This window comes from Homo sapiens, chromosome 11 (genome assembly GCF_000001405.40).
Source record: "Homo sapiens chromosome 11, GRCh38.p14 Primary Assembly".
NCBI classification, from domain to species: domain Eukaryota; kingdom Metazoa; phylum Chordata; class Mammalia; order Primates; family Hominidae; genus Homo; species Homo sapiens.
In genome coordinates, this window is record NC_000011.10 from 70,388,773 (window position 1) to 70,415,462 (window position 26,690).

The following is a 26,690-nucleotide window of genomic DNA, read 5'->3' on the forward strand; positions in this document are numbered from 1 at the left end:
CTATGTGATAAACTGTCTTCGTCTTTGGATGTCTGAGAATACTGCTGCTTACCCCTTCACTTCATTACGGTAATTTTGCCCAGTTTCAAACTCTAACTGCAGCCCACAGCTGAAATATTTTATATCACAACCCAGCATGCACACACTACATTTCATCAATTCTGCTGTGAACATTTTTTCATGTTTTGGTATCTTAAATTAGGATGTGTCTTATAAGCAATGATACTGAAGCACTCTGGGAGGCTGAGGTGGGTGGATTGCTTGAGCTCATCAGTTCGAGACCAGCCTGGGCAACATGGCAAAACCCCGTCTCTACAAACAACACAAAAATTAGCTGGGTGTGGTGGTGTGTGCCTGTAGCCCCAGCTACTCAGGAGGCTGAGGTGGAAAGATCGCTTGAGCCCAGGAGGTGGAGGTTGCAGTGAGCTGTGATCAGGCTGCTGCACTCCAGCCTGGGCAACAGAGCCGGACTGTGTCTCGACAACAACAGAAACATTTACTCCAAATTGTATTTTTGACATTATTTGTAATGGCTGTTATAGGGCCAACAGATGAAGTGGCCCTGCAAAGCTGTCTATTGTCAGGGCAATTTGCATCTGTAGAGAATCTCCATTACTGCACCCAGGCCTTATATAACACCTTGAAAAGTCTGAAAAGAGCCGTTTATCATCCCTGACGACTTCTACTTGTGAGGTTTCATCTATGTAACAAGACCCCGTTTGCTAGCCAGACCTCTTCCTCCCGTCTTCCCAGAACCTCATTTGCCAGGATCCAAGCCCTCATTCATTCTGTGGCCTCAAGACCTGACAGTGGTGCCCAAGGAGAGAATACAGTCATGGGTTCCTAGTCTCTTTCTGGTTGGCCCAGTAAAGCCCCTTCCTTATCCCTCTTTTCTACTTATCACTAGAGACAGAAACTCAAAACCATGGCGTTGGGCTGCCAAAAGCCTAGAACAGAACAACAAAATAAGGCAGGTTGGACAAGCCTGGATAAGCTCCTGTACCTCCTGGGGGGCTGGGTCTCTATTCTGAAGGCTCCTGTGTATACATGGTAAATACATGTGTGTGCCTTTTCTCCGATTAGCCAATCTGCCTCATGCCAGTGATTTTTCAGCAAACCTTTAGGGGGCCAAGGGCCTTGGCTCCCACAACATGTTAGACTTGATGAAACACATACAGTATGTGACAAAACATTTAAGACAGGCTGCAAATTCTCTGCTACTCCTCACAGTGAAAGGTAAGAGTCTAACTCCCCTCCCTTAAACCTGGGCTGGCCTTAGTGACTTGCTTGACCAAAAGAATGCAGCAGACATAACTTTGAGACCTGGAGCTAGGTCACAAGACGATTTCCTGGGTTTTGTGGAATTCTCGTTCTGAAAGAAACAAGCCACCAAGTGGCCGGGTGAGCTGGCTCACGCCTGTAATCCCAGCACTTTGGGAGGCCGAGCCGGGCCGATCACAAGGTCAGGAGATCGAGACCATCCTGGCTAACATGGTGAAACCCCGTCTCTACTAAAAATACAAAAAAATTAGCCGGGCATACTGGCGGGCGCCTGTAGTCCCAGCTACTCGGGAGGCTGAGGCAGGAGAATGGCATGAACCTGGGAGGCGGAGGTCGCAGTGGGCCAAGATCGCGCCACTGCACTCGAGTCTGGGTGACTAGCAAGTAATAAGTCCTATTACTCCAAGACCACCCCACTGTAAGGAGGCCCAAGCTAGCCACATGAAAAGACTGGAGAGAGCTGTCTAGTGTCTGTCCCCAGCTGCTCCCGCCATCCTATTCGAAGTGCCAGCCATACACGTGATGAAGCCAACTTGGACATGCCAGTTCTCACAGCCGTGCTGGAGGAGAAGCCATTCTGACGTACCCAACATTCAGAAGCGAGGCCCAGACATAGAACCCCGGTCTTCATCGCAGCCATGGCTGACCAGATGAGCCACTCCAGTGGAGACCATTGAAATGAAGGTAAGCCGCTCCCACATCCCCCATCTGACTCACAAAATTATGAGCATGATGAAAGGTTTCACCAGTAAACACCACCACCTTTTATGGTTTATTATGTTTGGGGTGGTTTATTATGTTACAGGAAAGAGGTCCAGATCCAGGCCCCAAGAGGGGGTTCTTGGATCTTGCACAAGAAAGAATTCAGGACAAGTCCACAGAGTAAGGTGAAAGCAAGTTTATTAGGGGAGCAAAGGAACAAAAGAATAGAGCAAACCTTTAGAATAGAGCAGCCCCAAGGGCTGCTAGTTGCCCATTTTTATGGTTATTTCTTGATGACATGCTAAACAAGGGGTGGCCGATTATTCATGCCTCCCCTTTCTAGACCACATAGAGTAACTTCCTGACGTTGCCATGGCATTTGTAAACTGTCATGGCGTTGATGGGAGTGTAGCAGTGAGGACGACCAGAGGTCACTCTCGCCGCCATCTTGGTTTTGGTGGGTTTTGGCCGCCTGCTGCTGCTTTTTTTTTTTTTTTTTTTTTTTTTTTTTGAGATGGAGTTTCACTCTGTCACCCAGGCAGGAGTGCAGTGGTGCGATCTCGGCTCACTGCAACCTCCGCCTGCCGGGTTCAAGCAATTCTCTGACTCAGCCTCCTGAGTAGCTGGGTTTACAGGTGCCCGCCACCACGCCCAGCTAATTTTTTTGTATTTTTAGTAGAGACGGGGTTTCACCATGTTGGCCAGGCTGGTCTTGAACTCCTGACCTCATGATCCACCCACCTCCCAAAGTGCTGGGATTACAGGCATGAGCCACCACGCCTGGCTATGGCCGGCTTCTTTACCGCAAGCTGTTTTATCAGCAAGGTGTTTATGACCTGTATTTTGTGCTGACCGCCTACATCATCCTGTGACTTAGAATGCCTCAGTCATCTGGGAATGCATCCCAGTAGGTTTCAGCCTCATTTTACCCAGCTCCTATTCAAGATGGAGTTGCTCTGGTTCACACGCCCCTGACAATTACACAGCCATTGATACGGTATGTAAACCAAAAGTGACTCTTAAGCACCCCCAACCAACTGAATAGACCCTTCCCCCTTGGCCAAGAGGATGCCAAAGAAACCTGAAAAACTGGCCAGGCACAGTGGCTCACACCTGTAATCCCAGCACTTTGGGAGGCTGAGGCAGGTGGATCACGAGGTCAGGAGTTTGAGACCAACCTGACCAACAGGGTGAAACCCCGTCTCTACTAAAAATACAAAACTTATCCGGGCATGGTGGCACAGGCCTGTAATCCCATCTGCTCAGGAGGCTGAGGCAGAGAATTGCTTGAACCTGGGAGGTGGAGGTTGCAGTGAGTCGAGATCATGCCACTGCACTCCAGCGTGGGCAACAGAGTGAGATTCTGTCTCAAAAAAAAAAAAAAAAGAAAAGAAAATCTGAGTCCACCTATGCCCTGTAAGCCCCCGCTTTGAGTTGTCGCGCCTTTCCAGATGGAACCAATGTATACCTCACATGCACTGATTGATGTCTTATGTCTCCTTAAAATATATAAACCAAAGCTGTAACCCAACCACCTTGGGCCCATGTTCTCAGGACCTCCTGAGGCTGCCTCATGGGTCATGGCCCTTGCATTTAGCTCAGAATAAATCTCTTTTAATACTTTCCAGAGTTTGGCATTTTTTTGTCAATATGTATATGAAATATACCCTTAGGTTTTCTGTCTAATATGTTCTATGCTGTCCCCTGCTCCCACCCCACGATCATCTGCTATATTTTCTTATCCGTTGCTGTTTAAAGACCCACCCCAAAATGTAACAGTAAAAAACAACCAAGATTTATTGCTTCTTTTGATTCAGTGGGTTGGCAATCTCGGTGACTTTTTTCCTTTTTTTTTTTGTAGATGGAGTTTCACTATTGTCACCCAGGCTGGAGTGCAATGGTGATCTCGGCTCACTGCAACCTCCACCTCCCGGGTTCAAGTAATTCTCCTGCCTCAGCCTCCCAAGTAGCTGGGATTACAGGTGCCCGCCACCACACCCAGCTAATTTTTGTATTTTTAGTAGATACGGGGTTTCACCATGTTGCCCAGGCTGGTCTTGAACTCCTAACCTCAGGTTATCCTCCCACCTCGTCCTCCCAAAGTGCTGGGATTACAGGCGTGAGCCACAGCGCCCAGTCCCATTCCCATTTTTTTTAAATCAGAGTCACTCTGTCACCCAAGCTGGAGTGCACTGGCATGATTATAGCTCACTGTACCCGTGAACTCCTAACACCTGGGCCTAAGGGATCCTCCCACCTCAGCCTTCTGAGTAGCAGGGACTACAGGCATGAGCCACATGGCCTGGTTCTAAACATAATTTTAAAATCATACTCATGTTCTACAATATAAAATTCAACTTTAATAATTCATGTTCCCATTGTTCACAGTATTGGCTTTCTTATTTATTTTATATTTTGAGACAGGGTCTCCCTCTATCATTCATGCTGGAGTGCAGTGGCGAAATCATGGTTCATTGGCAGCCTTGACCTCCTGGGCTCAGCTGATCCTCTTGCCTCAGTCTTCCAAGTAGCTGGGACTGTAGGCACAGGCCACCACACCCAGCTAATTTTTTTAAAGTTTTGTAGACACAGGGTCTTCACTATGTTGCCCAGGCTGGTCTTGAACTCCTGAGCTCAAGCAATCCACCTGCCTCGGCCTCCCAAGGTGCTGGATTATAGGCATGAGTCACTGTGCCTGGCCTTTGGCTTTCTTATTTAGTATTCATTTTTACAATCCCTTTGGAACTTACATTCTAGGTTCATTTTAATTAGGAAATGTTTCATTTTCTCTCTTCCTCACTGTGTGTGACGCTGTCTGTCTCCCTGTTCTGCAGTTGCCTCAACCTCTCTGTATTAGGGTGGGCTAAACATCTGGAACAAATGGACTCCAAACGCAATATCTTAAACACAACAGGATTTTCTTTTGCTTTCACGTAACAGGGCAGGGTGTATGTCCAGGTCAGGCAGAGGAGGAGAAAGGGATAGTAAGGAAGATCTGTTCCACGCAGTCTTGGAGGGATGCAGGCTGGTGGGCTCTGCCATCCTCAAAACAGGGCTTCCAAGGTTGTACCTGTCACCTGTAGTAGGCTGAATAATGGCCTCCAAATATGTCTGCATCCTAATAGTCAGAACATGTGATGTTGCTTTACATGGCAAAAAGGAGTTAGCAGATGTCATGACATTAAGGATCTTGAGATGGGAGGATATTCTGGGTGGGTCTGAAATGGGATCCCAAATGTTCTTGTAATAGGGAGGCAAAGAGACATATCCGTACAGAGAGAAAACAGGTGTGAAGATGAATGCATGGGTCTGAGGGATGCAAGAAGCTAGAAAGGCCACAGATGGTTCCTCCCCTAGAGTCTCCAAAAGGAACAAGCCCCACTGACACCTTGACTTTAGCCCATGAAACTGATTTCAGACTCTGGCTTCCAGAGCTGAAGAGCATATATTTGCATTGTTTTGAGGCACTGAGTCTGTCATAATGTGTTGCAGCAGCCTAGGAAGCTGGTCCACGGTAGGAGGCAGCCCCGGGGAGGAATGATGGTCCAGGCTCAGAAGCCATGCATGTCACCTCCCCTCATGTTCCATGGGCGAGAACCTGGCCACATGGCAGCTCCCAACTCCAAGGGAAGCTGGGAAATGTAGTAGAGCTGGACACCCACATGTCCACTTAGTACCGAGGAGGGTGGGGGCGCTGGGTGGACAGCTACATCTCCGTCACACGTGTTGTATTGAGTCCTACAGCCCTGCGTGGTGGTGCAAATGCCCCAGGTCCCATCTGCACTCTAAGTCAGGGACTGGTTTGCTCAGGTCCTGGACATAAGGCTGTCTGGACATCCCTCTTTGGCTGCATGGGTTTTTAAAATTTTTCTTTATTTTTATTTTTTTGAGACAGGTTCACACCATGTTGCTCCAGCTGGTCTTGCACTCCTGGGCTCAAGTGATTCCTCCCACCTCGGCCTCCCCAAGTAGCTGGGACCACTGGTGCGCCCCTGGCTGCGTGCTTCTTTTACAAGCGTGGGTGACCCAGGCCCAGCAGCTTTGCAGTTGCAGGCCCACTCAGCACTTTGCATTTCTCTTCATTTCTGGCTCACAGAGATATCACTTTTGTTTTGTTTTGTTTTGTTTTTTTGATAGAGTCCCGCTGTGTCTCCCAGGCTGGAGTGCAATGGCGCGATCTCAGCTCACTGCAACCTTCACCTCCCGGGTTTGAGCGATTATCCTGCCTCAGCCTCCCAAGTAGCTGGGATTACAGGCGCCTGCCACCATGCCTGGCTTATTTTTGTATTTTTATTAGAGACGGGGTTTCACCAGGTTGGTCAGGATAGTCTCGGACTCCTGACCTCAAGTGATCCACCTGCATCGGCCTCCCAAAGTGCTGGGATTACAGGCGTGAGCAACCACGCCCAGCCACCAGTTTTGTTTTTGTTTTTGTTTTTATTTTTTGAATTTTAGTAGAGATGGGGCTTCACCATGCTGGCCAGGCTGGTCTCAAATTCCTAACCTCAAGAAATCCGTCTGCCTTGGCCTCCCAAAGTGCCGGGATTATAGGCATGAGCCACGGCGCCCGGCTTCGACCTATTTTTGAGCACAGCTATACTTCTTGCTTTGCAAATTTTACACTGTATGTGTAATTCCTGTGGCCAGCCTCAGTCTCTGCCACACATTCTCCTGGGGAGCACAATGGGCATGTGGAAGAGTGTGCTGCCCCTTTCTCTCTGGGAGCCACTCTGAAGCACCCTGCTCTTCACCGGCAGCAGACTGGTCTTTCTAAGCCACGAACGCTGCCCTCCTGCTGAAAAGTCTGCAGTGAGCTTTGTCTTTCCTTCTCTGTAAAATTAGCCCAGCTAATTTTTGTACTTTAATTTTAGAGACGGGGTTTCACCATGTTGGCCAGGCTGGTCTTGAACTCCTGACCTCAGGTGATCCACCTGCCTTGGCCTCCCAAAGTGCTGGGATTACAGGCATGAGCCACCGCGCCTGGCTGCTATATTTTCTTTACATGTTTTCTTGAATAAAATACATTTTCTTCAACCTAAAAGTTCATTTTTCCAATTTTAATAGAAATAAGAACATTTCCGTGGGCGCCCAAAGATATGTCCACAGCCTAATCCTCAGCACCTATGACTATGACCTCTTATGGCAAAAGGTGTGACACAGTGAGGGACTTGAGAGGAGGGGTTTGTGCTGGATCAATACAGTCACAGGGCTCCCTCTGAGATGGACACCACCGGCTATGCCTGCTTTTTTGACTAGATGATTTCATACCTCTGTAGAGGCAGAAATTAACCTTTAAAAAACAGGCAGCAATGTGGCCTGGCAATGTGGTGGCTCACACATGTAATCCCAGTGCAGGAGGGTCACTTGAGCACAGGAGTTCGAGACCAGCATTAGCAACACAGCAGGACCCAGTATCTACAAAAATATTAAAAAATTAGAGGCCGGGCATGGTGGCTCACGCCTGTAATCCCAGCACTTTGGGAGGCCGAGGCGGGAGGATCACCTGAGGTCGGGAGTTCGAGACCAGCCTGACCAACATGGAGAAACCCTGTCTCTACTGAAAATACAAAATTAGCCAGGCAAAGTGACGCACGCCTGTAATCCCAGCTACTCGGGAGGCTGAGGCAGGAGAATTGCTTGAACCCGAGAGGCAGAGGTTGCAGTGAGCTGAGATGGCGCCATTGCACTCCAGCCTGGGCAACAAGAGGGGAACTCCATCTCAAAAAAAAAAAAATTAGCTGAGTGTGGTGGCACGTGCCTGTAGTTCCAGCTACAGCTACTTGGGAGGCTGAGGTGGGAGGATCACTTGAGCCCAGGAGATCGAGGCTGCAGTGAGCCTTGATTGCACCACTGCACTCCAGCCCCTGTCTCTAAAGATTAAACAAACAAACAAAAAAAAACAGTCAGCAATGTAAAAAAAAAAATTTTTTTTTTCAGAGATGGGGTCTATATTGCCCAGGCTGGTCTTGAACTCCTGGGCTCAAGCAATCCTCTGGCCTTGCCGCTCAAAGTGCTGGTATTACAAGCCTGGCCAACAATCCTTGTGCACAGAAAATGCAAATTAGCTGTGTCCAGTTAAATGCAATTGACCTTTGCACTAGAGATAGAGCAGTTTTTGCAAATTCATTTCAGCATTCGTCTTCCGTTTTTTTTTTTTTTGACACAGGGTTTCTGTTGCCCGTGCCGGAGCGGTCCTTTTGCCTCAGCCTCCAGAATAGCTGGGACCACAGGTAAACGTCACCATGCCTGGCTAATTTTTTTCTTAAAAAAAATTTTTTTTTTTTGGTAGAGACAGGGTCTTGCCATGCTGCCCAGGCTGGTCTCAAATTCCTGACCTCCAGCAATCCTCCTGCCTTGGCCTCCCAAAGTGTTGGGATTACAGGCGCGAGGCACTGCATCTGGCCAAATTCTTTAAACAATTTGTAACAACTTATGATGTATTCATTATCGAGTTAAATAAAATATTTGACGTGTTCATTTTATATGTGTATGAAGGTCATGATTTTACCTTTAAAAAAATGGTCAACACCTGACATTTCCTTCCGCCACCCGCACTTCCAATTCATCCTCACATCTGACAGTTTAGCTTTCTAAATGCCTCTTGCATCTATCCACTTCTCCCCATCTTACCTGCCACCAGCGGTCTGCCCGAATTGGCTACATTAGGCTCTACCTGGCCCTTCTCCCATCCATCTTCCACACAGCAGCCAGAGTGATCTCATTACAATTCAAACTTCATTATGTCTTATTTATTTATTTAGCGATGGCGGGCGGGGGCGAGGGTCTCACTATGCTGACCAGGCTGGTCTCGAACTCCTGGCCTTAGGCGATCCTCCCATGTCAGCCTCCCAAAGTGTTATGATTACAGGCGTGGGCCACTGCGCCTGGCCCAAACTTCATGATGTCTCTTATCAGCTTAACTTCCTCCGAGGACTTCCCGTGTCTCCCAGAATAAAGACCGAGGTCTTCGCTGTGCTCTATCGGCCTCTGCATGACCTGGCCCCTCTCACACCACAGCTCCGCTGCACCACTAGCCCTCTACCATGCTGAGCTGAGCCTCCTCCAGTTCCCCTGCTGCAAGACCGTTCCTGCCTTGGGACCTCTGTTGGCCCTGCTGTTGGAACCTGCTGTTGGCCTGCCTGGAAAATTCTTCCCTCCTTACCTTGTTTACTCTTATAGGGCCTTCACATCTTGGCTAACATGTGAATCGCCCAAAGAAACCTCTGGTCTCCCAGGGGTTCAGGTCCTACCGTCTCCCCAATACGATGTTATGAAACTCTCACTTCTTGGCATTTATCTCATTTCCCAGGTGAGTACCCATGTGGTTTAACGCTTGACTCACCTTCTAGGCTGCTATGTCCCTGTGGCCGGGGCTCGCGTCCCTGGCACGCATGTGGCCCTTTCTTGGAGGGGAGGTGCATGGTGAGCGGACGAGGACGGCTGAGGGCGCGCGCGGAGGGAGGATGGAGAGATGAAGAGGCTCCCCGCTCCCGGACTCAGGGCACGTGCGTCTCCTCGGCTGGCTTCCTTCCCCCGGCCCCGGGCAGCGCCGCGGATCCTGAGACCCCGCCGCGGGCTGTGTGCTGCTCAGCGCCCATCCTCTGCGCGCGCAACGCTACTTCCGGGCGAGCTCTGCAGACTCGCCACAGGCCGGGCTAGCGCTTAGCCAGCTGCGGGCGGACCCCCGGGACTCTTGCGGGCCAAGACGCGGGAGGAGGCGGGGCAGGGGGCGGGGTCGCGCGGGGACCCGGATGCGGCCCCGCCCCCGCCCTCGGAACCGGAAGTAGAGCCTGGTGCCTGGGAGCGGCTGGCGCGGCGGAATCCAGGGCCGACCCGGGCCGGACCGACCCCAGGCGGCGGTGAGCGAGCGCGGCGTCCGCCCGGGGTGCAGGCCGGGCTCTGCTTCTTCCCTCCTGTGGCGTCGCCTGGCCGCGAAAGGGGAAGGAAGCGGCGGCCGCAGCGGTCTCACCGCTCTTCCGCTTGCGGTTTCGGGGGCCGGGGCAGAGTGGCGAGGCTTTCCCGGCCTGGGGCGGGGCAGGGCGAGGGCCGGGGGTCCGCGAGGGCCACGAGGACGGGTCTGGGCCCAAGGAGGCCGGGCAGGGGGCAAGGGGGCACGGAGGGCTTGGGGCTGGGGTCCGCGGAGGAAGGTTAGAAAGGGGCCAAATTGGGGTATCAGCTCTGAGGGGAGGGTCCCTGGGCGCCGGGGGGCTCCAGGGCAGGAGAGGGGCCAGGCTGGGAGGGGTCTTGGGTCCGAGGGAATAGGAGAGGGGGATGGGCTCCGAGGGGGAGGGTATTAGGGCCCGAGGGAGAGGGGCTGGGCCTGTGGGGTTCGGGGGTCTGAGCGGAGGGGGCCGGGGTTCGAGGGGCCAAGGAAGGTGGGTGTGGGGGGTCTCAAGGAAAGGGCGAGGGGTCTGAGAGGGAGGTGTCTGGGTGCAGAGGGAAAGGGATGAGGTCCGAGGGGAGGAGATTGGGGTCTGACGGGAAGGGGTCCAGGCGCAGAGCTACTGGGATGGGGTCCGAGGGAAGGGAATTGGGGTTCGAGGGGAAGGGGTCGGGGCTCGGAGGAAAGGTATAGGGTCCGAGGGGAGGGGATTGGGGCTCCAGGGGAAGGGATCCAGGCGCAGGGAAAAGGGATGGGGTCCGCGGGGTCAAGGCGGTTGGGGTGCGCGACTTTGAGGGGCTCGCTGTGGGACGTGGCGGAGCAGCTGGGGATCCGCCCGGCCTGCACCTGAGCGGAGGTTTTGCAATCAGGTCAGTGGAGGCAGCGAGGCGCGGCTGCAGCTAGTCGTGAGGCTCTAAATTTGGAACCGTCCCTCCTTCGGGGTGTGTTTAAAATCACCAGAACGGTGCTTTGGGGCTTTCTGTTACGTTTCCATCACCTGGATAGTCTAAGGGATGCCTGATCCCTGAAGCTGGAAGGCCTTGGGTGAGAAGGGACAGGGCTTCCTCCCGCTGGAATCTGTGGACGTTTGGGGCCCCTTGGGGAGGAATTCATTTTCTGCTGAAGGAAGCTCCGGAGGCATCCGGTGAGCGCTCCCTGGAATCCCATGCGCTCCCTTTGGGCTCAGTGTTGACTTGGCTGCGCAGGCTCTGTCGGGGGGACTTCACCCACTAGGTCCTTCAGGCATGATCCAGCCCTCAAGCCCGGCCGGGCCCAAGGCCGTGGCGCAGGAGGGGCTGGCCGCCTGCCCCTGTCTCCATTCACGTGTTTGACCGTGTGGGTGAGTCACTGGCTCCAGAGCACTGAGTCAGTCCTGTTTCTCCTCTGGTTAGAGAAGTATTCGCCAGATACTCAAGGAACAAGGAAGAGTCTTTTAAGTGGGACTCAATAAAAAGTTGGGGAGGCAGGGTTGTTTTGATATTAGGTCCCCTAGAACTAGAAGCTAACCTTCTGCTATATCTTACTGAAAAGAAATTTCTTTTGACCTGGGGCAGGGGTGCGGTGGCTCACACCTGTAATCCCTGCACTTTGGGAGGTCAAGGTGAGAGGATCGTTTGAGGCCAGGAGTTCCAGACTAGCCTGGGCAACACAGGGAGACCTTGTGTCTACAAAAAAAGAAATTCGCTGGGCATGTTGGCTTGCACCTGTTGTCCTAGCTACTTGGGGCGCTGAGGCAGAGGATCTCAAGCCCAGGAGTTGGAGGCTGCATTGAGCTCGATCGCACCACTGTACTCCAGCCTGGGTGACAGAGCGAGACCCTGTCACCCAGGCTGGAGTGCAGAGGCTCTTCACAGGTGCCATCTAGCACACTGCAACCTTGAACTGCTGGCCTTAAGCGATCCTCCCACCTCAGCCTCCCAAGTAGCTGGGACTGCAGGCCCAGCTAAAGCTGACTTTTAATTGTAGCATTTTGATGGACTTGTTTTTAAAACACTTTTAAAATGACAGCACACATAATCGGCAATTCAGATCTTCAGTCTGTGCCACGCAGTAGGTGCTCAGAAAAGGTGTCCTGAGAGTGTGAATTGCTGTGAGCGCTGGTTGCTGCCTTGTGTTGCAGTATTCCCATGGCCTGGGCCAGCCAAGAGCAGGGGACTGTGCTCCAGGAGCAGGCTTGGCTTTCACTGTGGCCCAGGCCCACCCCATCTGCTCACGCACTGCTTTGAGTAAACGGAGTAAATGTTGGGGGCGGGGTTTCCCTTGAGTAAGTGTGGTGTAGGGAGTGTGCCTGTGATGGTGATTTTGGCTACGCAAGTGTCTGTTTCCTTTCTCCTCCTGCTCTGCCATAGATGCTGAGGCTAATGGAAAGCTGATGGTGGACGGATGGTTCTGTCCTGTCATTTAAAACATTCTTCTGCCAGGCTCGGTGGCTCACACCTGTAATCTCAGCACTTTGGGAGGCTAAGGGCAGGTGGATTGCTTGAGCCCAGGAGTTTCGAGATCAGCCTAGGCAACATGGGGAAACCCCATCTCTGTTAAAAATAGAAAAATTGGCCGGGTATGGTGGCTCACACCTGTAATCCCAGCACTTTGGGAGGCTGAGGTGGGCAGATCACGAGGTCAGGAGATTGACACCATCCTGGCTAACACAGTGAAACACCGTCTCTACTAAAAAAAAAAATACAAAAAATTAGCCGGGCGTGGTGGTATATGCCTGTAGTCCCAGCCACTCAGGAGGCTGAGGCACCAGAATCGCTTGAACCTGCGAAGTGGAGGTTGCAGTGAGCCGAGATCACACTATTGCACTCCAGCCTGGGCAAAAGACTGAGACTCCATCTCAAAAGAAAAAAGAAAAAGAAAAATTAGCTGGGTGTAGTGACAGGTGCCTGTAGTCCCAGCTACTCAGGAGGGTGAGGCAGGAGAATCGCTTGAACCCAGGAGGCAGAGGTTGCGGTGAGCTGAGATCACACCATTGCACTCCAGCCTGGGCAACAGAGTGAGACTTCGTCTCAAACAAAAAAAAACAAAAAAAAAAAGAGAGAGAAAAATCAGCTTGGTGTGGTGGTGCATTCCTGTAGTCCTAGCTACTCGGGAGGCTGAGGTGGGAGGATCACCTGAACCTGGGACACAGAGGTTGCAGTGAGCTGAGATTGTGCCTCTGCACTCTAGCCTGGGCCACAGTGCAAGACCCTGTCTCAGAAAAAAAAAAGAAAAAAAAGGCTGGTGGGGGGCTTTTAGGCGCGGTGGTTCGTGCCTGTAATCCCAGCACTTTGAGAGGCTGAGGCTGGCAAATCACTTGAGGCCAGGAGTTGGAGATCAGCCTGGACCAACATAATGAAACCCCATCTCTACTAAAAATACAAAAAATTAGCTGGGTGTGATGGCGCATGCCTGTAATCCCAGCTACTCGGGAAGCTGAGGCAGGAAAATCACTTGAACCTGGGAGACAGAGGTTGCAGTGAGCCGAGATCGCGCTGTTGCACTCCAACCTAGGCAACAGAGCAAGACTGTCTGAAAAAGAAAAAAAAAGTTATTGTGTAGAGGAATTTTTCACTCTGTCTAGACAGCAAGATTACTTCACGTTTGTGCAATCTTGATTTGTACACTGACGTTTGCAAGGAAGGTTTAATGTTGAGGATGGACAGAGTCATTATCTTCTTTTGAACCGTATTGTAACAGCTTTATCGAGATATAATTCACATACCATACAATACGCCTGTGTAGTGTGTACTCTCCACTGGTTTTTAGTATCTTCATGCAGTTGTACAACTGTCACCACAGTCAATTTCAGAATAATTTTATCACCTCAAAAAGAAGCCCTTGTACCTTTTAGCCATGACCTCCCTATCCTCACCACCACCATCCGCCCAGCCCTGGGCAACCAGCAATGTATCTTTTGTCTCTGTAGATTTGTGAACTCCAGACATTTCCTAGAAATTGAATCGTATAATATGTGGTCTTTTGTGCGTGGTTTTCCTTTGCGCAATGGATTTGAGGTCCCTCCACGCTGTAGCAGGTGTCACTGCTGGATCCTCTTTGTGGCAGAATAAAATGCCTTTGTGTTAGGTAGACCACATGTTATGTATCTATCAGTTGATGGACATTTGGAGTGTTTCTGTTTTTTGGCTGCTATGAATAGTGCTGTTCTGAACACTCACGCACAAGTTTTTGTGTGCTTATACTTTATTTCTCTTGGGCATAGACCTAGGAGTGGAGTTGCTGAGTCATACAGTACCTGAGTTTAACCTTCTGAGGAACTGCCAGACCTTTTCCATTTAACATCCCTGTCAGCAGTCTATGAGGCTTCCAGTTTTTCAACACTGTTGCTGAGATTTGTCATTGGCTGTTTTATTTTAGTCATCCTAGTGGGTATGAGGTGGGTTCTCATTGCAGTTTTGATTTGCATTTCCTTGGTGGTTAATGACATTGAACAAACTTTTCCTGAGCTTGTTGGCCATTTGTATATCTCCTCTGAAGAAATGTCTCTTCAGATCCTTCAATCATTTTTAAATGGGGTTATTCGTCCTTTTTATTGAATTATAAGAGTTCCTTTTTTTTTTTTTTTTTTTTTGAGATGGAGTCTCACTCTGTCGCCAGGCTGCAGTATAGTGGCGCAATCTCGGCTCACTACAGCCTCTGTCTCCCGGGTTCAAGCAGTTCTCCTGCTTCAGCCTCCCAAGTAGCTGGGACTACAGGCATGCGTCACCACGCCCTGTTAATTTTTGTATTTTTCGTAGAGACGGGGTTTCACCATGTTGGCCAGGATGGTCTCGATCTCTTGACCTAGTAATCCGCCCGCCTCGGCCTCCGAAAGTGCTGGGATTACAGGCGTGAGCCACCTCACCTGGCCAAGAGTTCTTTATATATTCTGGATCTACAGTTCAAAATACTTTTCTCTCAGGATCGTCTTGTCACCTTCTTGATGAAGCACAAAATTTTTAATTTTGTACAATTTATTTTTTTCCTCTAGTGTTTTGGTGTCATATCTAAGAAACTATTGCCAAATTCAAAGTCACAAAAATTTACACCCTTTTAGGATTTTAGTTCATTTTTGAGTTAATTTTTCTGTATGGTTTTGAGGTAGGGCTCTAGAGGCTTTTTATCTTTGGATCCACAAAACAATCAAACTTATTTCCTATTGGTTATTTTTGTGATTGTTTTTTAAATTTCCAATATTGAGAGTATAAAATTGTGGATCTGAGCCTATCCTTAGCTGCTCATGAGTAGATTTTTATTATTTACTTTATGATTGATTTATGTATGAGACAGGGTCTCTCTCTGTCTCCCAGGCTGGGGTGCAGTGGTGTGATCATGGCTCACTGCAACCTTGAGCTCCTGGGCTCAAGCAGTTCCCCCACCTCAGCCTCCTGAGTAGCTGGGACTACAGGTATACACGACCATGCCTGGCTAAATTTTTAGGCAGAGTTGTATAGATGCTTGCCGATTACACTAATAACTGCAGTAACCAGAATGTAGCAAGCAATCTGTAGAAGTTAGGATTGCCGAAGGGAACTGGGGAGAGAGATGGAGCAAACAGTTGGGTCAGAAACCAGATAGGAAATTAATTAATTACCAGGAGGGCCAGCCAGGCACCATCCCCTAGTTCCTAATGCGTGAGAAACCACTCTGCCTGTGACCGGCTTGTTCCTAGGGACAAGGGGATTTCATTCGTCCATGTGTGTTGTCTAGCAGTATGGTGTCCAGTTGAGGCTGATGTGTGGTCCTAGGGAAGGGGTCGTGTGCTTGGCCACCCTCTGGGGAGCTGGAGTCTTGCTCCCTGCGCGGTAACCGTGTACGTTCATTAGGAATGCAGCCCGCCTCCTCCTCGGCTCTCCAGCTGCCAGTCTCATGTCTTGATAGACAGTCACCATACTGGTTTTTCCTCCCGGCCATATCATGATCCTCTCAAGGAGTGTTTTTCTTATATTATTGTTTTAAAAAGCTCACAGTAACAATTTTATTTTATAATGTCATTAATTAGAATGAATAAAAAGTGAAAATCTCTAAGAATTATGGCAAACAGTAAATGCATACTAGCAATTAAGGCAATAATTTCTGTTTGCATTCATAAGAAACATCATGTAGGCCGGGCGCCATGCCTCACACCTGTAATCCCAGCACTTTGGGAGGCCAAGGCAGGCGGATCACCTGAGGTCGGGAGTTTGAGACCAGCCTGACCAACATGGAGAAAACCCGTCTGTACTAAAAATAGAAAATTAGCTGGGCGTGGTGGCGCCTGCCTGTAATCCCAGCTACTTGGGAGGCTGAGGCAGGAGAATCACTTGAACCCGGGAGGTGGAGTTTGCGGTAAGCCGCGATTGTGCCATTGCACTCCAGCCTGTGCAACAAGAGTGAAACTCCATCTCAAAAAAAACAAAACAAAAAAGACAAAAAGTCATCATGTAGTTAGAAATCTTTTAAAACTTATTTCTTTAGTTTCTCTCTGTTGAACTTTTTTATTAGTAAAATGCAAGTCTTCCCATCCTCCTCTCAGATTTCATTACAAAACCTTGTTACGTTTGGGAAGATTTCTGAAGTTTTCTAAAAAGATCTCCACACAGAAGGGTTTGCCCAGGGAGCTGCTCAACATACATCCTTCTCAGCTTTTTACCCTTAATCTTTTTACAGACGGAATCAGTCCCCAATGCCTGGAAATTCCTCATTGGATTACTGTGTTTTAAACAGAATTTCGTGAACAGCCTTTTATCTCCAAGCGGAAAGAAAGGTACTTGTGCATTGTGAACATCCTAACATTCTTTTCCTGTGGATGGTAAGGGCAAAAATCCCTTTAACAGGAAACGGGGGAGGTTGCTGTTTCTGTGGATTTACTGGGAGAGAGATGATAATATTCTGGAAGGAAATTTCATTGTTTAAAAAATAAAGTCAGGTTTCTGTTGCATATGACTTAGAGGAGACAATTGCAGAAAACTCTGGAATTGAGGAAGAGAACCATTCCTGTCCTCCCTGAGGGGAAATCTGGCCCCTTCCCCACCCCATGAACATGGGTGGGGCCCCCAGGCACAGGATTGTGAAGCTCGCAAGTGCCCACCCCGCTCGCTGGTGAAGCTGTGTCCGGGAAGATGAGCAGAGACTGTGCTCTGCTAATCTCTCCCCGATGAGCCTGAAAAAGTACCAGGCAAAGACACCTGCCGCCTTTCTCCTTTGCCTTGGGGGTGAAGGTGGCCTCGCCAGCCCTGCAGGGACTCCCATCCTTTCTTGCAGCCACCTTCTCAGTGGTGGGAACCATGGGCAGCTGAAGTCCTGCAGGCGGGCAGCCCCCTCGCCAGGGCAGCATGGTGCCATGGGGCGGCCGGAGACCAAGCATCCCGTTTCTCTTTCCTGCAGCCGTTGCTTCATTTATAAATGGGCGCGTTGGGACAAGATGGACTGGTTGTGCCTTTCCGTTCTGAGATTCTAGTTCATCTGTTTTCTAAAATCCTGGCAAAAGCAGATCACTCTGGAAATTCTTGCCATGCTTTGGGCATTGACAGAAGGTTCCAGGGGCACTGTTAGTCCTGCTACACCCCTTGGCAGACGGTTCTTCCCCAAGAGACAAAGTCGCACCTAGAAATTTGAGAGCACGCTGCCCTGATTGGTCCCTCACTGTCACATTGGATTTGGACTTGAGACCCAGCCAGGCTGGAGGGAGAGGAGCCAGATGGGACATTCTCAAGCTGCGAAGGGGTTTTGTCCAGTCCTGATTCAGGGCGCTAGAGTCCCAACATGGCACCTGAGAAAAAGTGAATTGGGTGTCCTCAGTTCAGACCCCTGGGCACAGCTTATGGTTGTTTGATTTAAAATAATCTCTCAGTTGCTCTGTGGCCTATGTGTAATTGTATTACTATTTCTGTGGAAAAGGAATCACTTCTTTTTATACATAGTTTGAAAAAAAAAAAAAAACCTTAAAATTTTATATTTTACCACTGCAGTTACAAGAATTGTCTTGTTAGGGTTTACAGATGTGCCATTGTTCTGTATAACAGAGAAAACCTTCCAGTCTTCAAGGGCTGAGGGAGAAGGTGGCTGCCCACTTGCAGAGCTGCCTGATAGAGGAAAAGGTGGCATTTTATATTCCTGTTTTCTTCCAAGTAGAGAGTAAAGCAATTCTCCAATAAACTACTTGAAACATTTATTAAATTGTAAGTCTGAATTAGGAAAATTATTGTTATGGTTTCAGTAAGCACTTGAAATCAAAATGGGTGCACTTTTTAAAAATGTGTGATAAAATACACATACCATGAGATTTACCATTAGTAACATTTAGTATATTTATAATACATAATCCAAAATGGTGCTTTTATTTTTGGTTGGAAACTATCATCATATGATTGAACAGAACAGGAATATGTTCTTAATGAATAAATAAGTGCACACACGACTTTTTTATTTTCCAGAAAATTTTCTCACTCAAGGTGAAGCCAAATAGTATTTCCAGTATATTTCTGACGTCAGGTGACGGCAGTGTTAGAACCCCGAGGTGAAATTTCTTTTACTCCTGTGGTTGTCAGTCAGGCTTATGGATCATGAAGGATTGGCTGGTCCTGCAGCCTCGTCCTCCTGGGTTGCCTAGAATCTCGGTAGTTTTGGCCAAAGGGCTCATCTGCTGGCCTCTGTGGATGGCGCCCTGAGGCCTCCGTAACCCTCCCCGGCTGCTCTTTCAGATGTGGAAAGCTTCAGCAGGCCACGCTGTGTCCATCGCCCAGGATGACGCGGGGGCCGATGACTGGGAGACCGACCCTGATTTTGTGGTAGGAGCCGCCAGCCTTTGCTTTCCTCTTTCATGAAGTGGAAGTGGCTCTCCTGGGTTTTTCTTTGATGGGGTGGTGGTTTGTCTGTGTCACAATCCAGGCTGTGAGATTTACTGGTCGCTTTTCTTTTCAGAATGATGTGAGTGAGAAGGAGCAAAGATGGGGTGCCAAGACGGTGCAGGGCTCCGGGCACCAGGAGCATATCAAGTAAGAGGCGTCGCCACCACCCTCCCGAGGGCCCCTCTGCGGATGGAGCCCCAGGTGCAACAGGGCCCATGGTCATCTGTGGAGGGACAGCCCGTGTGGAAACTGCATTTATCTTCTTGACCTGATACCCATGCAGTAAATGAATATAAGACACACACATATATGTGTATTTGTGTAATGTGTGTGTTTATATGTGTATATTTAGATACTTCTGTGCTCAGTAATTTTTAAATTCCCATTGCAAACAATTTCCGTATTTATAATTTTAGAGTGTCCGCTTCTCAGTATTGTGGCTTTTATCAGGGAACATTTGTCCCTAAGCTCTACCTTACAAGCGAGAGGTTTCTAAAGTATGAGATGTCTGAATAACTGAGACCTTAAATGCCCTGTCCCTTTTTTTATTATCTGGAAATGATTATGTGTTAATAGTGAGGTACTGTGAGCTTTGTGTTCTTATCGAAAGCCCAGAGTTGGGCACTGAGTGAACCCTGTCATTGTTTCTCACTTGGCACTATCTAAAATGCCAGCTCTTGGGGCAGTTTTTTTTTTCGTCAGAAAGTGTAGATAAAAGGAACTTTTAAAATATGCTCAGACTTTTATTTTAGGCCACGCTGGGTTCAGAGTGGATCCTCCTTTCCCTGGCTGTGAAGGCAGCACCACTGACCCGGTGACCGCCTCAGTATCCCGGGAAGACTGTCCCGCTTGACCACGGTCCCTTCAGCTGAGAAAGATTTAGTCCTTCCTCCAGAAAAGAAGGCACAGCCTGCACAATGGCTTTTTATTTTGTTGTTAAAGATTTATTTATTTATTTATTTATTTATTTTGAGACAGGGTCTCACTCTGTCACCCAGGCTGGAGTGCAGTGGTGCAATCATAGCTCACTGCAGCTTTGACTTCCTGGGTTCAAGCGATCCTCTCACCTCAGCTTCCTGAGTAGCTGGAACCATGGGCGCACACCACAATGGCTAGCTAAGTGCTTTTATTTCTTGTAAAGATGAGGTCTTGCTTTTGTTGCTCAGGCTGGTCTTGAACTCCTGGGCTCAGGTGATTCTCCTGCCTCAGCCTCCCAAAGTGCTGGGATCACAGGTGTGTGCCGCCGCACCTGGCCCCCAGTGGCTTTTTATACACAAGTTTTAGTCCCTCTCTGGCTTGCTCAGCACACTCCCTTCCACAGAAGCAGCTTCGGAACTCCGGTGGCCGTGCGGCTGCCCAGGACAAGAGACTGGAATGGGGCTGACTTGGGAGTCCACTGTAGCCTTGGGTATTTGCTATGGCGTTAAGCAGACTCCTGAATTCGTTGAGTCATCATACCTCTTCTCATCTCTTCTGTTCCCTGTGGCTTCAAAACATGTCTCGGAGGGTGGCTTGGAGAAAAAACAACTCTCCAGTACAAAACCCTTGGGCTGGTTAGGATTCAGAGAGGAACACATGGGGAATAAGCCCATTCTTCATGCTCTGGGGCCTTCCCAGGTTTTAGGAGTGGTGTCTTTCTTTCTCCTGCTCATAAGGGTATTGGGCGGTTTCCAAGCCTGGTTTGTATTTCATCTTCAATTCTAGGATTGTCGTCCAGATGTCAAAGGTGGCGTCCTGGTGTCTCCTGGGCAGAAAGTCCGAATGCCAAAGTGGCCTTCTTATCACTCTGGGGTCTCTCAATGACAGCTGTGTCTGGCCTACCAGATTTGAGCAAACCTTGTCATCTGTTTCATTATCTGCTGTATTAAAATTTTTTAATGGCATTTAGATGTTAAATTCTGAAACGCTTTCCTCTCATCTTTGAATGTATAAAAAAGCTGGAGTACTTCAAGTACAGACGAATCATCTGAATGTTCAGCACCACTGGACTTCTGCCAGTGGCCGAGGAAGGGACCATAGCCTCGTGTTTCCCCCTCTACCTCTGGATGATTACAGACTAGCTTTCCTATTTTCTGCGTGTGAAATAAAGGTCAGGCTTCAGTAGAGCCATCTTTAGCGGGGATTTGGGATGATCCCAGTGTCTGCCTTCAGATTCGTGTTCTGTCTCCCACAGAGCATGCGTCTGATACTGCAGACTGCCGAAGTGGGTGTACCAGCCGGCAGAATAGTCAGGAAGGCACAGTGCAGGGAGAGAATCGGTGAACATCAGATAAGCAGATTTACAAATTTACAAAGATAATGTCACCTGTTCTTATTTATCATACCAGGAGGCAAAGCTGCACGTCTGTTTTATTGATCTGTTCCTATTTTCATCTCTTCCATCAAGCATACACAAGCTGAGGGAGAATGTCTTTCAAGAGCATCAGACCCTTAAGGAGAAGGAACTTGAAACAGGACCAAAAGCTTCCCATGGCTATGGAGGGAAATTTGGTGTGGAACAAGACCGAATGGATAAGGTAAGTGGCCCGCGGCTGCCTATGCCAGGCTCCTGGTGTGCTTGGACCACTAGACTGGGTGGCAGAGTCGTCCCTCAGTCTTTCCTTAGATCAGCAGTTTTGAGTCCATCTGCTGAGGTTGCGATTTGCCCGGAGTAGACCCCTGTTGATTGGACTTACTCATGAAGTACTCTAGCTTTCTTCAAAGCTCTTTAGGAATCCTCAGAGGTGCTGGAGCACGGGTGTTAGTGGGGAGGCCCAGAGAGGGAGATTGGCCCTCAGAGGCAGCCTTGTGATAGGACAGAAGTCCAGAAGCATCCTGGCTCTAGGTGTCATCACTGTCAATGCCTGTGGTTCCAGTCTGTAGCCTAAGTCATGCCAGTCCGAAGACCAAAGTCAAATCTGTAGGTCCCCATGGTTCACAGCACACACGGAATCCAGCCAAAGGCCTGGCTAACATCCTTCATGCGTTCAGTGACCATCAGAGCAGTCTCCCTCGTGTAAATTCGGCGCGTACCAGGCTGGGGACAGTGCTCACTCTATTCGAGAGGTCTGGGCAAGCCTCCCAGCAGCTGTCATTGATGGGATGCAGACTGCCACGCAGACGTTGATTGAGGACGTTGGCCAAATGCATCCGGCTGCACCCGTGCTTTAGGTCCTCTCTACCTTAAGAAAGGGAGCCACGTTAGCTCAGGAGGGCTACCTTTTCCTTCCTGGAGAGAAGATGGAAGAGATCGCAGTGTGTTTGCATGTTTCTTCAGTAAAACAGACATCCTGGAGGTGAACTTTTGAGTCTGAGCAACATAAGCTTGTTCTGACCTGACAGATGCTTGCCTTTACTCTGTGGAAAGAAGTGTGTTAGCCAGTGTCGGATTCCAGCCGGTAATTCCATACCCCTCTCCCACCTCATGCACCAGCCAGATGAACATTTGAGCTGGGCACGGGATGATGTTGCCGTGTCACAGTGAGCTGCACCTTGCTCTGTCCCCCGCAGAGTAGATGATGTGGTGGGCCGGCAGGGCACCCCAAACCACGACCATAAATAGCCTGGGGGAGGAGTGGGGTGAGGGACCTTCTGCAGGAAAGAGACATGGATGTTGCTGCGTCACTACCACAGAGATGCCCTGACACCGAGAAGAGCAATGTGTGCAGAATCATCATCTTTGGAGTCTAAAAAAAGTCTGGTAGCTTTTAGGAGTGTAAACAGGCAGACGGACCCCTGAGTTCAGTGCAGCGAGCGAAGCAAGTGCACACGGACAGACGGAATCCATGTGTTCAGTGCAGCGAGCGAAGCGTGTGCACACGGACAGACGGAATCCATGTGTTCAGTGCAGCGAGCGAAGCGTGTGCACACGGACAGACGGAATCCATGTGTTCAGTGCAGCGAGCGAAGCGTGTGCACACGGACAGACGGAATCCATGTGTTCAGTGCAGCGAGCGAAGCGTGTGCACACGGACAGACGGAATCCGTGTTCAGTGCAGCGAGCGAAGCGTGTGCACACGGACAGACGGAATCCATGTGTTCAGTGCAGTGAACGAAGCAAGTAGATAGGAGCCTTTCCCACTGCAGACTGAGGCGAGCCCTGTGCTTAGGGGGCTTGTGGGGAGTTAGCGCAGAGAGACATTTATTCTAAAAATGGGGCTCCCTGCTGTGGGTTGGGAAAATTACATATTGGGGAAAAGAAAGGCAACGTGTCAGGAGAGCCTGGTAGGGAAGCTGCTGTGGCTTCTCTGCTGCTGCTCGGCCTGCACCTTTTTTCAGCGCGAATCTCGCTCACCCTAGAACCTGCAGCTCAGGCCTTCCCGAGTGCCAGGAGCTCCCTGGAAGAGCCCTCACTTCCCTCTCTCCTGTGCGGTCTCCACAGCAGCCTCTGCTTCCCTCATGAGCTGTCCTTGCCTCATCCTGCTGTCCTTCCCAGGGAGACTCCCCTCCGGGCTGGGCTTTTCAAGGGTCGGGACTTGTCATCCTCACCTTGTGCCTGGCTCAGTGCCACGTGCCCCCCCCTTAGGCCAGTGCTCTCATGGAACCAAGGAGGCTTATGGAGCCTTGCTCTCACCTCTCAGCCGGCAAGTTGGAGAGCTGTCCTAGCAGGGCGAGTCCAGCAAGGGATGCTGCTGCTGCTCAGTCCCAGCTGGCATCGGGGCCAGGTTAGCGCTCAGCTCAGGTCAGCACCATGGGACAGATACGTTGTCAAAAATAACTCAGGGCCAGGTACGGGACTGGCACCTGTAATCCCAGCATTTTGGAAGGCCGAGGCAGGATGATCTTATCAGCCCAGGAGTTTGAGACCAGCCTGGGCAACATAGCAAGACCCTATCTCTACAAAAACATAATTAACTGGGCATGGTGGTGCACACCTGTAGTCCCAGCTGCTTGGGAGGCTAAGCTGGGAGGATCACCTGAACCTGGGAGGTGGAGACTGCAGTGTCCTGTGATCGCACCATTACAGTCCAGCCTGGGCGACAGAGAGAGACGCTGTCTCAGGAAATAAATAGATTAAACTCAGATTCCAAACCGAAGGGGAAACGGCTTAAGTTATTTGTAACTTGCCCACTCCAGAAACTAAAAAAAAAATAAAAAATTGAAATCTCTGCGTTAAGACTTGAGGAATATGTGCTAGAGACTTCCAGAACAAAAGAAGACATTGAGGACAAGCACACGCGAGAGGAGCCTGGACGGGCTGTCAGGATTCTGTTTATGCTGGGGCCTGAGCACACTGCACCTTTCCCTTGCGGCCAGCGGTGGCTGCATCCATCACGCGGGGCAGGCTTCCTTCTTGATCCCTTGTCTCCTTGCATCCCGTAGCCCTGAGTCTACATATTCAGGCTTCAAGATACAATCTCCCCAGCGTGATTGTTTAATAACAGATTTTGTCAATGTGAAATCGAAGGCAATTTTGGAGATGAATCCCTTTCAATCAAAAAGCTGGAAACTTTGCCTAGTTGTCATTCTGGGCATGTCTTTAGATCAGTTTTCCTGTAACTTCCTTCTGATGAAAACTCATGCTGGGGAATCCCTTTGGCACGTCTGCCTCTGCCACTCCTTCATCTCTGTTTTCTGGGTGAGACCCCGGAGGACACGGATGGGCAGTCTCTGCCACAGAGGGTTTGGAGGTGATGGCTCATGTGGAAAGAGAGTCAGCTGCCAACCTCAAAACAAACGTGGGAAGAAGAGGGCGCAGCACAGGCCCAAGGCTTAGGGCAAGACCTGCTTTTTCAATAGGGGAAATAGTGGACACTCTCTGAGTTGCCTGCTGCGTCAGCACCGGTGTGGGATGCTGCTTGGGTTAGCAGGTTAGCATGAGTGGCTCCACATGCTAGAGGGAGTGAGAAGAGGGGTCCCGATGTGCCGTGGACTTTCTCCACGCCCTCTGCTGGGCCATGTGCCCGCACTGTCTGTGAAGGAGTCCTTGACCCGGCTCTGCTGTGAGGAGGGAGCCTCAGAACCCTGGGGCCTCGGTGTCAGGACTGGAGCAGGGCCAGTGCTTTGAGGTAGGAGATCTTTTCCACTTTGTGGACCAGAGGGTCTCTCAATAGAACTGCCGAACGGAGTTGCTGAATCACACAAGCAGCTGTGGACAGCACACCTGTGAATGGCTGTGGCTGTGTCCCAGAGGCGTTATTTACAGAAGAGCTGGGTGCCGGGTCTGGAAAGCCCAGGGGAACCTTGGGCTTTACCTGCTGGCTTTGGCGAACAGAAGGTCCCCAAACCTGTGTGCGCTGATGGGGGCTGACGACATTAATGATGCTGAAATGAGCTGGCATGGGAGCCGGCAGCTGGCTCCTGCCTGAACAGGGTGCTGCTCAGCGGAAATCCAGTGTGAGCCTGTGTCTTGCAGACTATTTTTGTTTATAGTCTATTAGAACAAAATAGTTTGCTGGCAGACTATTTTTTGTGCCGATTCTTTGGTCATGTGATTCACAGAGGTCCCACTTCAGTAGATGCCAGCAGTCTCCACACCAGCGGGTCTCACGGATCCTGCCACAGGCTGCCAGCTCTGTGTACCTTCTTCATGCCCGGTCGTGTCAGAAATCCCCACTGGTGGCCCCGACCTGTGTCCAGGGTTCGTGTGCAGCTTCCAGGAGCCCAAGGGCTGGGGTGGGCCGTGAAAGCCTGCACCAAGGGCTGGGCGCGGTGTCTCACGCCTGTAATCCCAGCACTTTGGGAGGCCGAGGCGGGTGGATCACAAGGTCAGGAGATGGAGACCATCCTGGCTAACACGGTGAAACCCCGTCTCTACTAAAAATACAAAAAATTAGCCAGGCATGGTGGCGGGTGCCTATAGTCCCAGCTACTCGGGAGGCTGAGGCAGGAGAATGGCGTGAACCTGGGAGGCGGAGCTTGCAGTGAGCCGAGACCCCGCCACTGCACTCCAGCCTGGGCAACAGAGCAAGACTCTGTCTCAAAAAAAAAAAAGCCTGCACCAAGGACCCGGGCCTCCCAGGAGTCGTGTCGCCTTCCTTGGCTCCCCAGATGGGTGTGTTAATGTAAGGTTTCCCTGCACTGACCAGGATGTGGCCTCCCCCAGCCCTGCTCTGGGAGGAAGTGAAGCGCCGCAGTGTTGTTGGTGTCTAATGCTTTGTGTTTGAACCCTGTTCCAGTCAGCTGTCGGCCACGAATATCAGTCGAAACTTTCCAAGCACTGCTCGCAGGTGGACTCGGTCCGTGGCTTCGGAGGCAAGTTTGGTGTCCAGATGGACAGAGTTGATCAGGTGAGTGATGTGGCACTGGGACTGGGGCAGGTTGGGGCAAGGGGGGCGTTCCCCGTAGATCTGAGCCCTGTTGGGCCACTTGTAGTAGCAGGCAGGTGCCCTCCAGCTCTGGGGGACTGCAGAGAGGGGCATCTGCCTCCCAGGATGCTCTGAGAGCCTGGGCTCTCAGAGAGAGGAAGCAGGATGCGGCGGGCTTGCTGTAGCAGTCCCTGCGGTCGCTCTTCACTACGTGCCTCAGTACTGGATGGCCCTGTGTCTGTCCCAATGTGCCAGCAGGGACCGTTTCCACCCGTGTTTCTCACATGTGTGTTACTGTGACAGAGTGACATCAGAGCCTATACCGGGGGGGCAGGATGCGCTCGTGTCCAGGACCCAGGCTTTGCGTCCAGGTGTTGTTGCAGTCATCCTAGGCCCGAGCCTCTTTGATTCTCTTCGGCTCGGGTCTGTTGGCTCTTTTGTTTAATAGAGGAGCGATCAGGAGCCTGGAGGGAGCAGGGAGCTGATGCTGGTCGCAGATTGTGGCTTTGTGACATATTAGCCACGGTTCTGAATTTATGTGTCTGTGAAAGGAGGATGATCATACCTATCTCACGGGTGTTTGCTCAGATGCCCATCGCAGTGCCTGGCTGGTGGGAGTGCACCCCTGGTGGCCACTGCTATTCTCATTACTAATACTAATGTTCTCAGCATGACTTATTTGAGAAGCGAGTTTTTGTGAAGCCCGTGGAATGAATCAGCTGAGCATTCCCTGCTGCCGCATGCTGGGGAGGGCAGGTCACCAGGGATATGGCTTGGCCTGCGCCGCCCACT

At 50.3% G+C, this 26,690-nt stretch overlaps 1 protein-coding gene and 1 long non-coding RNA gene across 8 annotated transcripts in view, besides 11 other annotated features; one reads left to right on the forward strand and one right to left on the reverse strand.

The window, feature by feature from the left end:
* The window catches only part of CTTN-DT (CTTN divergent transcript), a 35,819-nt gene extending 26,129 nt beyond the window's left edge, over positions 1 to 9,690 (reverse strand). For both annotated transcript variants that reach the window (NR_186321.1, NR_186322.1), the window contains exon 1: positions 9,326 to 9,690. This is a non-coding gene — a long non-coding RNA (CTTN divergent transcript). The remainder of the gene's footprint in view (positions 1 to 9,325) is intronic.
* Positions 189 to 960: an enhancer, noted in NCBI's record as "NANOG-H3K27ac hESC enhancer chr11:70235067-70235838 (GRCh37/hg19 assembly coordinates)". NCBI's record gives its function as "activates a minimal SCP1, AML or CMV promoter by ChIP-STARR-seq in naive H9 embryonic stem cells {active_cell/tissue: H9 hESC(naive)}" and the evidence as "EXISTENCE:reporter gene assay evidence [ECO:0000049][PMID:30033119]".
* Positions 961 to 1,730: an enhancer, noted in NCBI's record as "H3K27ac-H3K4me1 hESC enhancer chr11:70235839-70236608 (GRCh37/hg19 assembly coordinates)". NCBI's record gives its function as "activates a minimal SCP1, AML or CMV promoter by ChIP-STARR-seq in naive H9 embryonic stem cells {active_cell/tissue: H9 hESC(naive)}" and the evidence as "EXISTENCE:reporter gene assay evidence [ECO:0000049][PMID:30033119]".
* Positions 2,502 to 3,271: an enhancer, noted in NCBI's record as "H3K27ac-H3K4me1 hESC enhancer chr11:70237380-70238149 (GRCh37/hg19 assembly coordinates)". NCBI's record gives its function as "activates a minimal SCP1, AML or CMV promoter by ChIP-STARR-seq in naive H9 embryonic stem cells {active_cell/tissue: H9 hESC(naive)}" and the evidence as "EXISTENCE:reporter gene assay evidence [ECO:0000049][PMID:30033119]".
* Positions 8,087 to 8,275: a silencer, noted in NCBI's record as "fragment chr11:70242965-70243153 (GRCh37/hg19 assembly coordinates)". NCBI's record gives its function as "represses an EF-1alpha promoter that drives an FKBP-Casp9 reporter gene in an ReSE screen in K562 erythroleukemia cells {active_cell/tissue: K562}" and the evidence as "EXISTENCE:reporter gene assay evidence [ECO:0000049][PMID:32094911]".
* Positions 9,053 to 9,122: an enhancer, noted in NCBI's record as "active region_5162". NCBI's record gives its function as "activates an Ori minimal core promoter by ATAC-STARR-seq in GM12878 lymphoblastoid cells {active_cell/tissue: GM12878}" and the evidence as "EXISTENCE:reporter gene assay evidence [ECO:0000049][PMID:35858748]".
* Positions 9,373 to 9,422: a silencer, noted in NCBI's record as "silent region_3702". NCBI's record gives its function as "represses an Ori minimal core promoter by ATAC-STARR-seq in GM12878 lymphoblastoid cells {active_cell/tissue: GM12878}" and the evidence as "EXISTENCE:reporter gene assay evidence [ECO:0000049][PMID:35858748]".
* Positions 9,523 to 10,032: a silencer, noted in NCBI's record as "silent region_3703". NCBI's record gives its function as "represses an Ori minimal core promoter by ATAC-STARR-seq in GM12878 lymphoblastoid cells {active_cell/tissue: GM12878}" and the evidence as "EXISTENCE:reporter gene assay evidence [ECO:0000049][PMID:35858748]".
* CTTN (cortactin) overlaps positions 9,757 to 26,690 on the forward strand; it is a 38,047-nt gene continuing 21,113 nt past the window's right edge. For all 6 annotated transcript variants that reach the window (NM_005231.4, NM_138565.3, NM_001184740.2 and 3 more), the window contains exons 1-6: positions 9,757 to 9,842; positions 16,493 to 16,589; positions 18,526 to 18,612; positions 18,746 to 18,819; positions 21,059 to 21,188; positions 25,770 to 25,880. In NM_005231.4, the coding sequence (NP_005222.2) occupies positions 18,526 to 18,612; positions 18,746 to 18,819; positions 21,059 to 21,188; positions 25,770 to 25,880 (402 nt within the window). In that variant the 5' untranslated portion in view covers positions 9,757 to 9,842; positions 16,493 to 16,589. The remainder of the gene's footprint in view (positions 9,843 to 16,492; positions 16,590 to 18,525; positions 18,613 to 18,745; positions 18,820 to 21,058; positions 21,189 to 25,769; positions 25,881 to 26,690) is intronic.
* Positions 10,614 to 10,683: a silencer, noted in NCBI's record as "silent region_3704". NCBI's record gives its function as "represses an Ori minimal core promoter by ATAC-STARR-seq in GM12878 lymphoblastoid cells {active_cell/tissue: GM12878}" and the evidence as "EXISTENCE:reporter gene assay evidence [ECO:0000049][PMID:35858748]".
* Positions 11,971 to 12,265: an enhancer, noted in NCBI's record as "tiled region #1776; K562 Activating non-DNase unmatched - State 14:Gen5'". NCBI's record gives its function as "activates a minimal TATA promoter and a strong SV40 promoter by Sharpr-MPRA in K562 cells {active_cell/tissue: K562}" and the evidence as "EXISTENCE:reporter gene assay evidence [ECO:0000049][PMID:27701403]".
* Positions 15,407 to 15,586: a silencer, noted in NCBI's record as "fragment chr11:70250285-70250464 (GRCh37/hg19 assembly coordinates)". NCBI's record gives its function as "represses an EF-1alpha promoter that drives an FKBP-Casp9 reporter gene in an ReSE screen in K562 erythroleukemia cells {active_cell/tissue: K562}" and the evidence as "EXISTENCE:reporter gene assay evidence [ECO:0000049][PMID:32094911]".
* Positions 26,453 to 26,654: a silencer, noted in NCBI's record as "fragment chr11:70261331-70261532 (GRCh37/hg19 assembly coordinates)". NCBI's record gives its function as "represses an EF-1alpha promoter that drives an FKBP-Casp9 reporter gene in an ReSE screen in K562 erythroleukemia cells {active_cell/tissue: K562}" and the evidence as "EXISTENCE:reporter gene assay evidence [ECO:0000049][PMID:32094911]".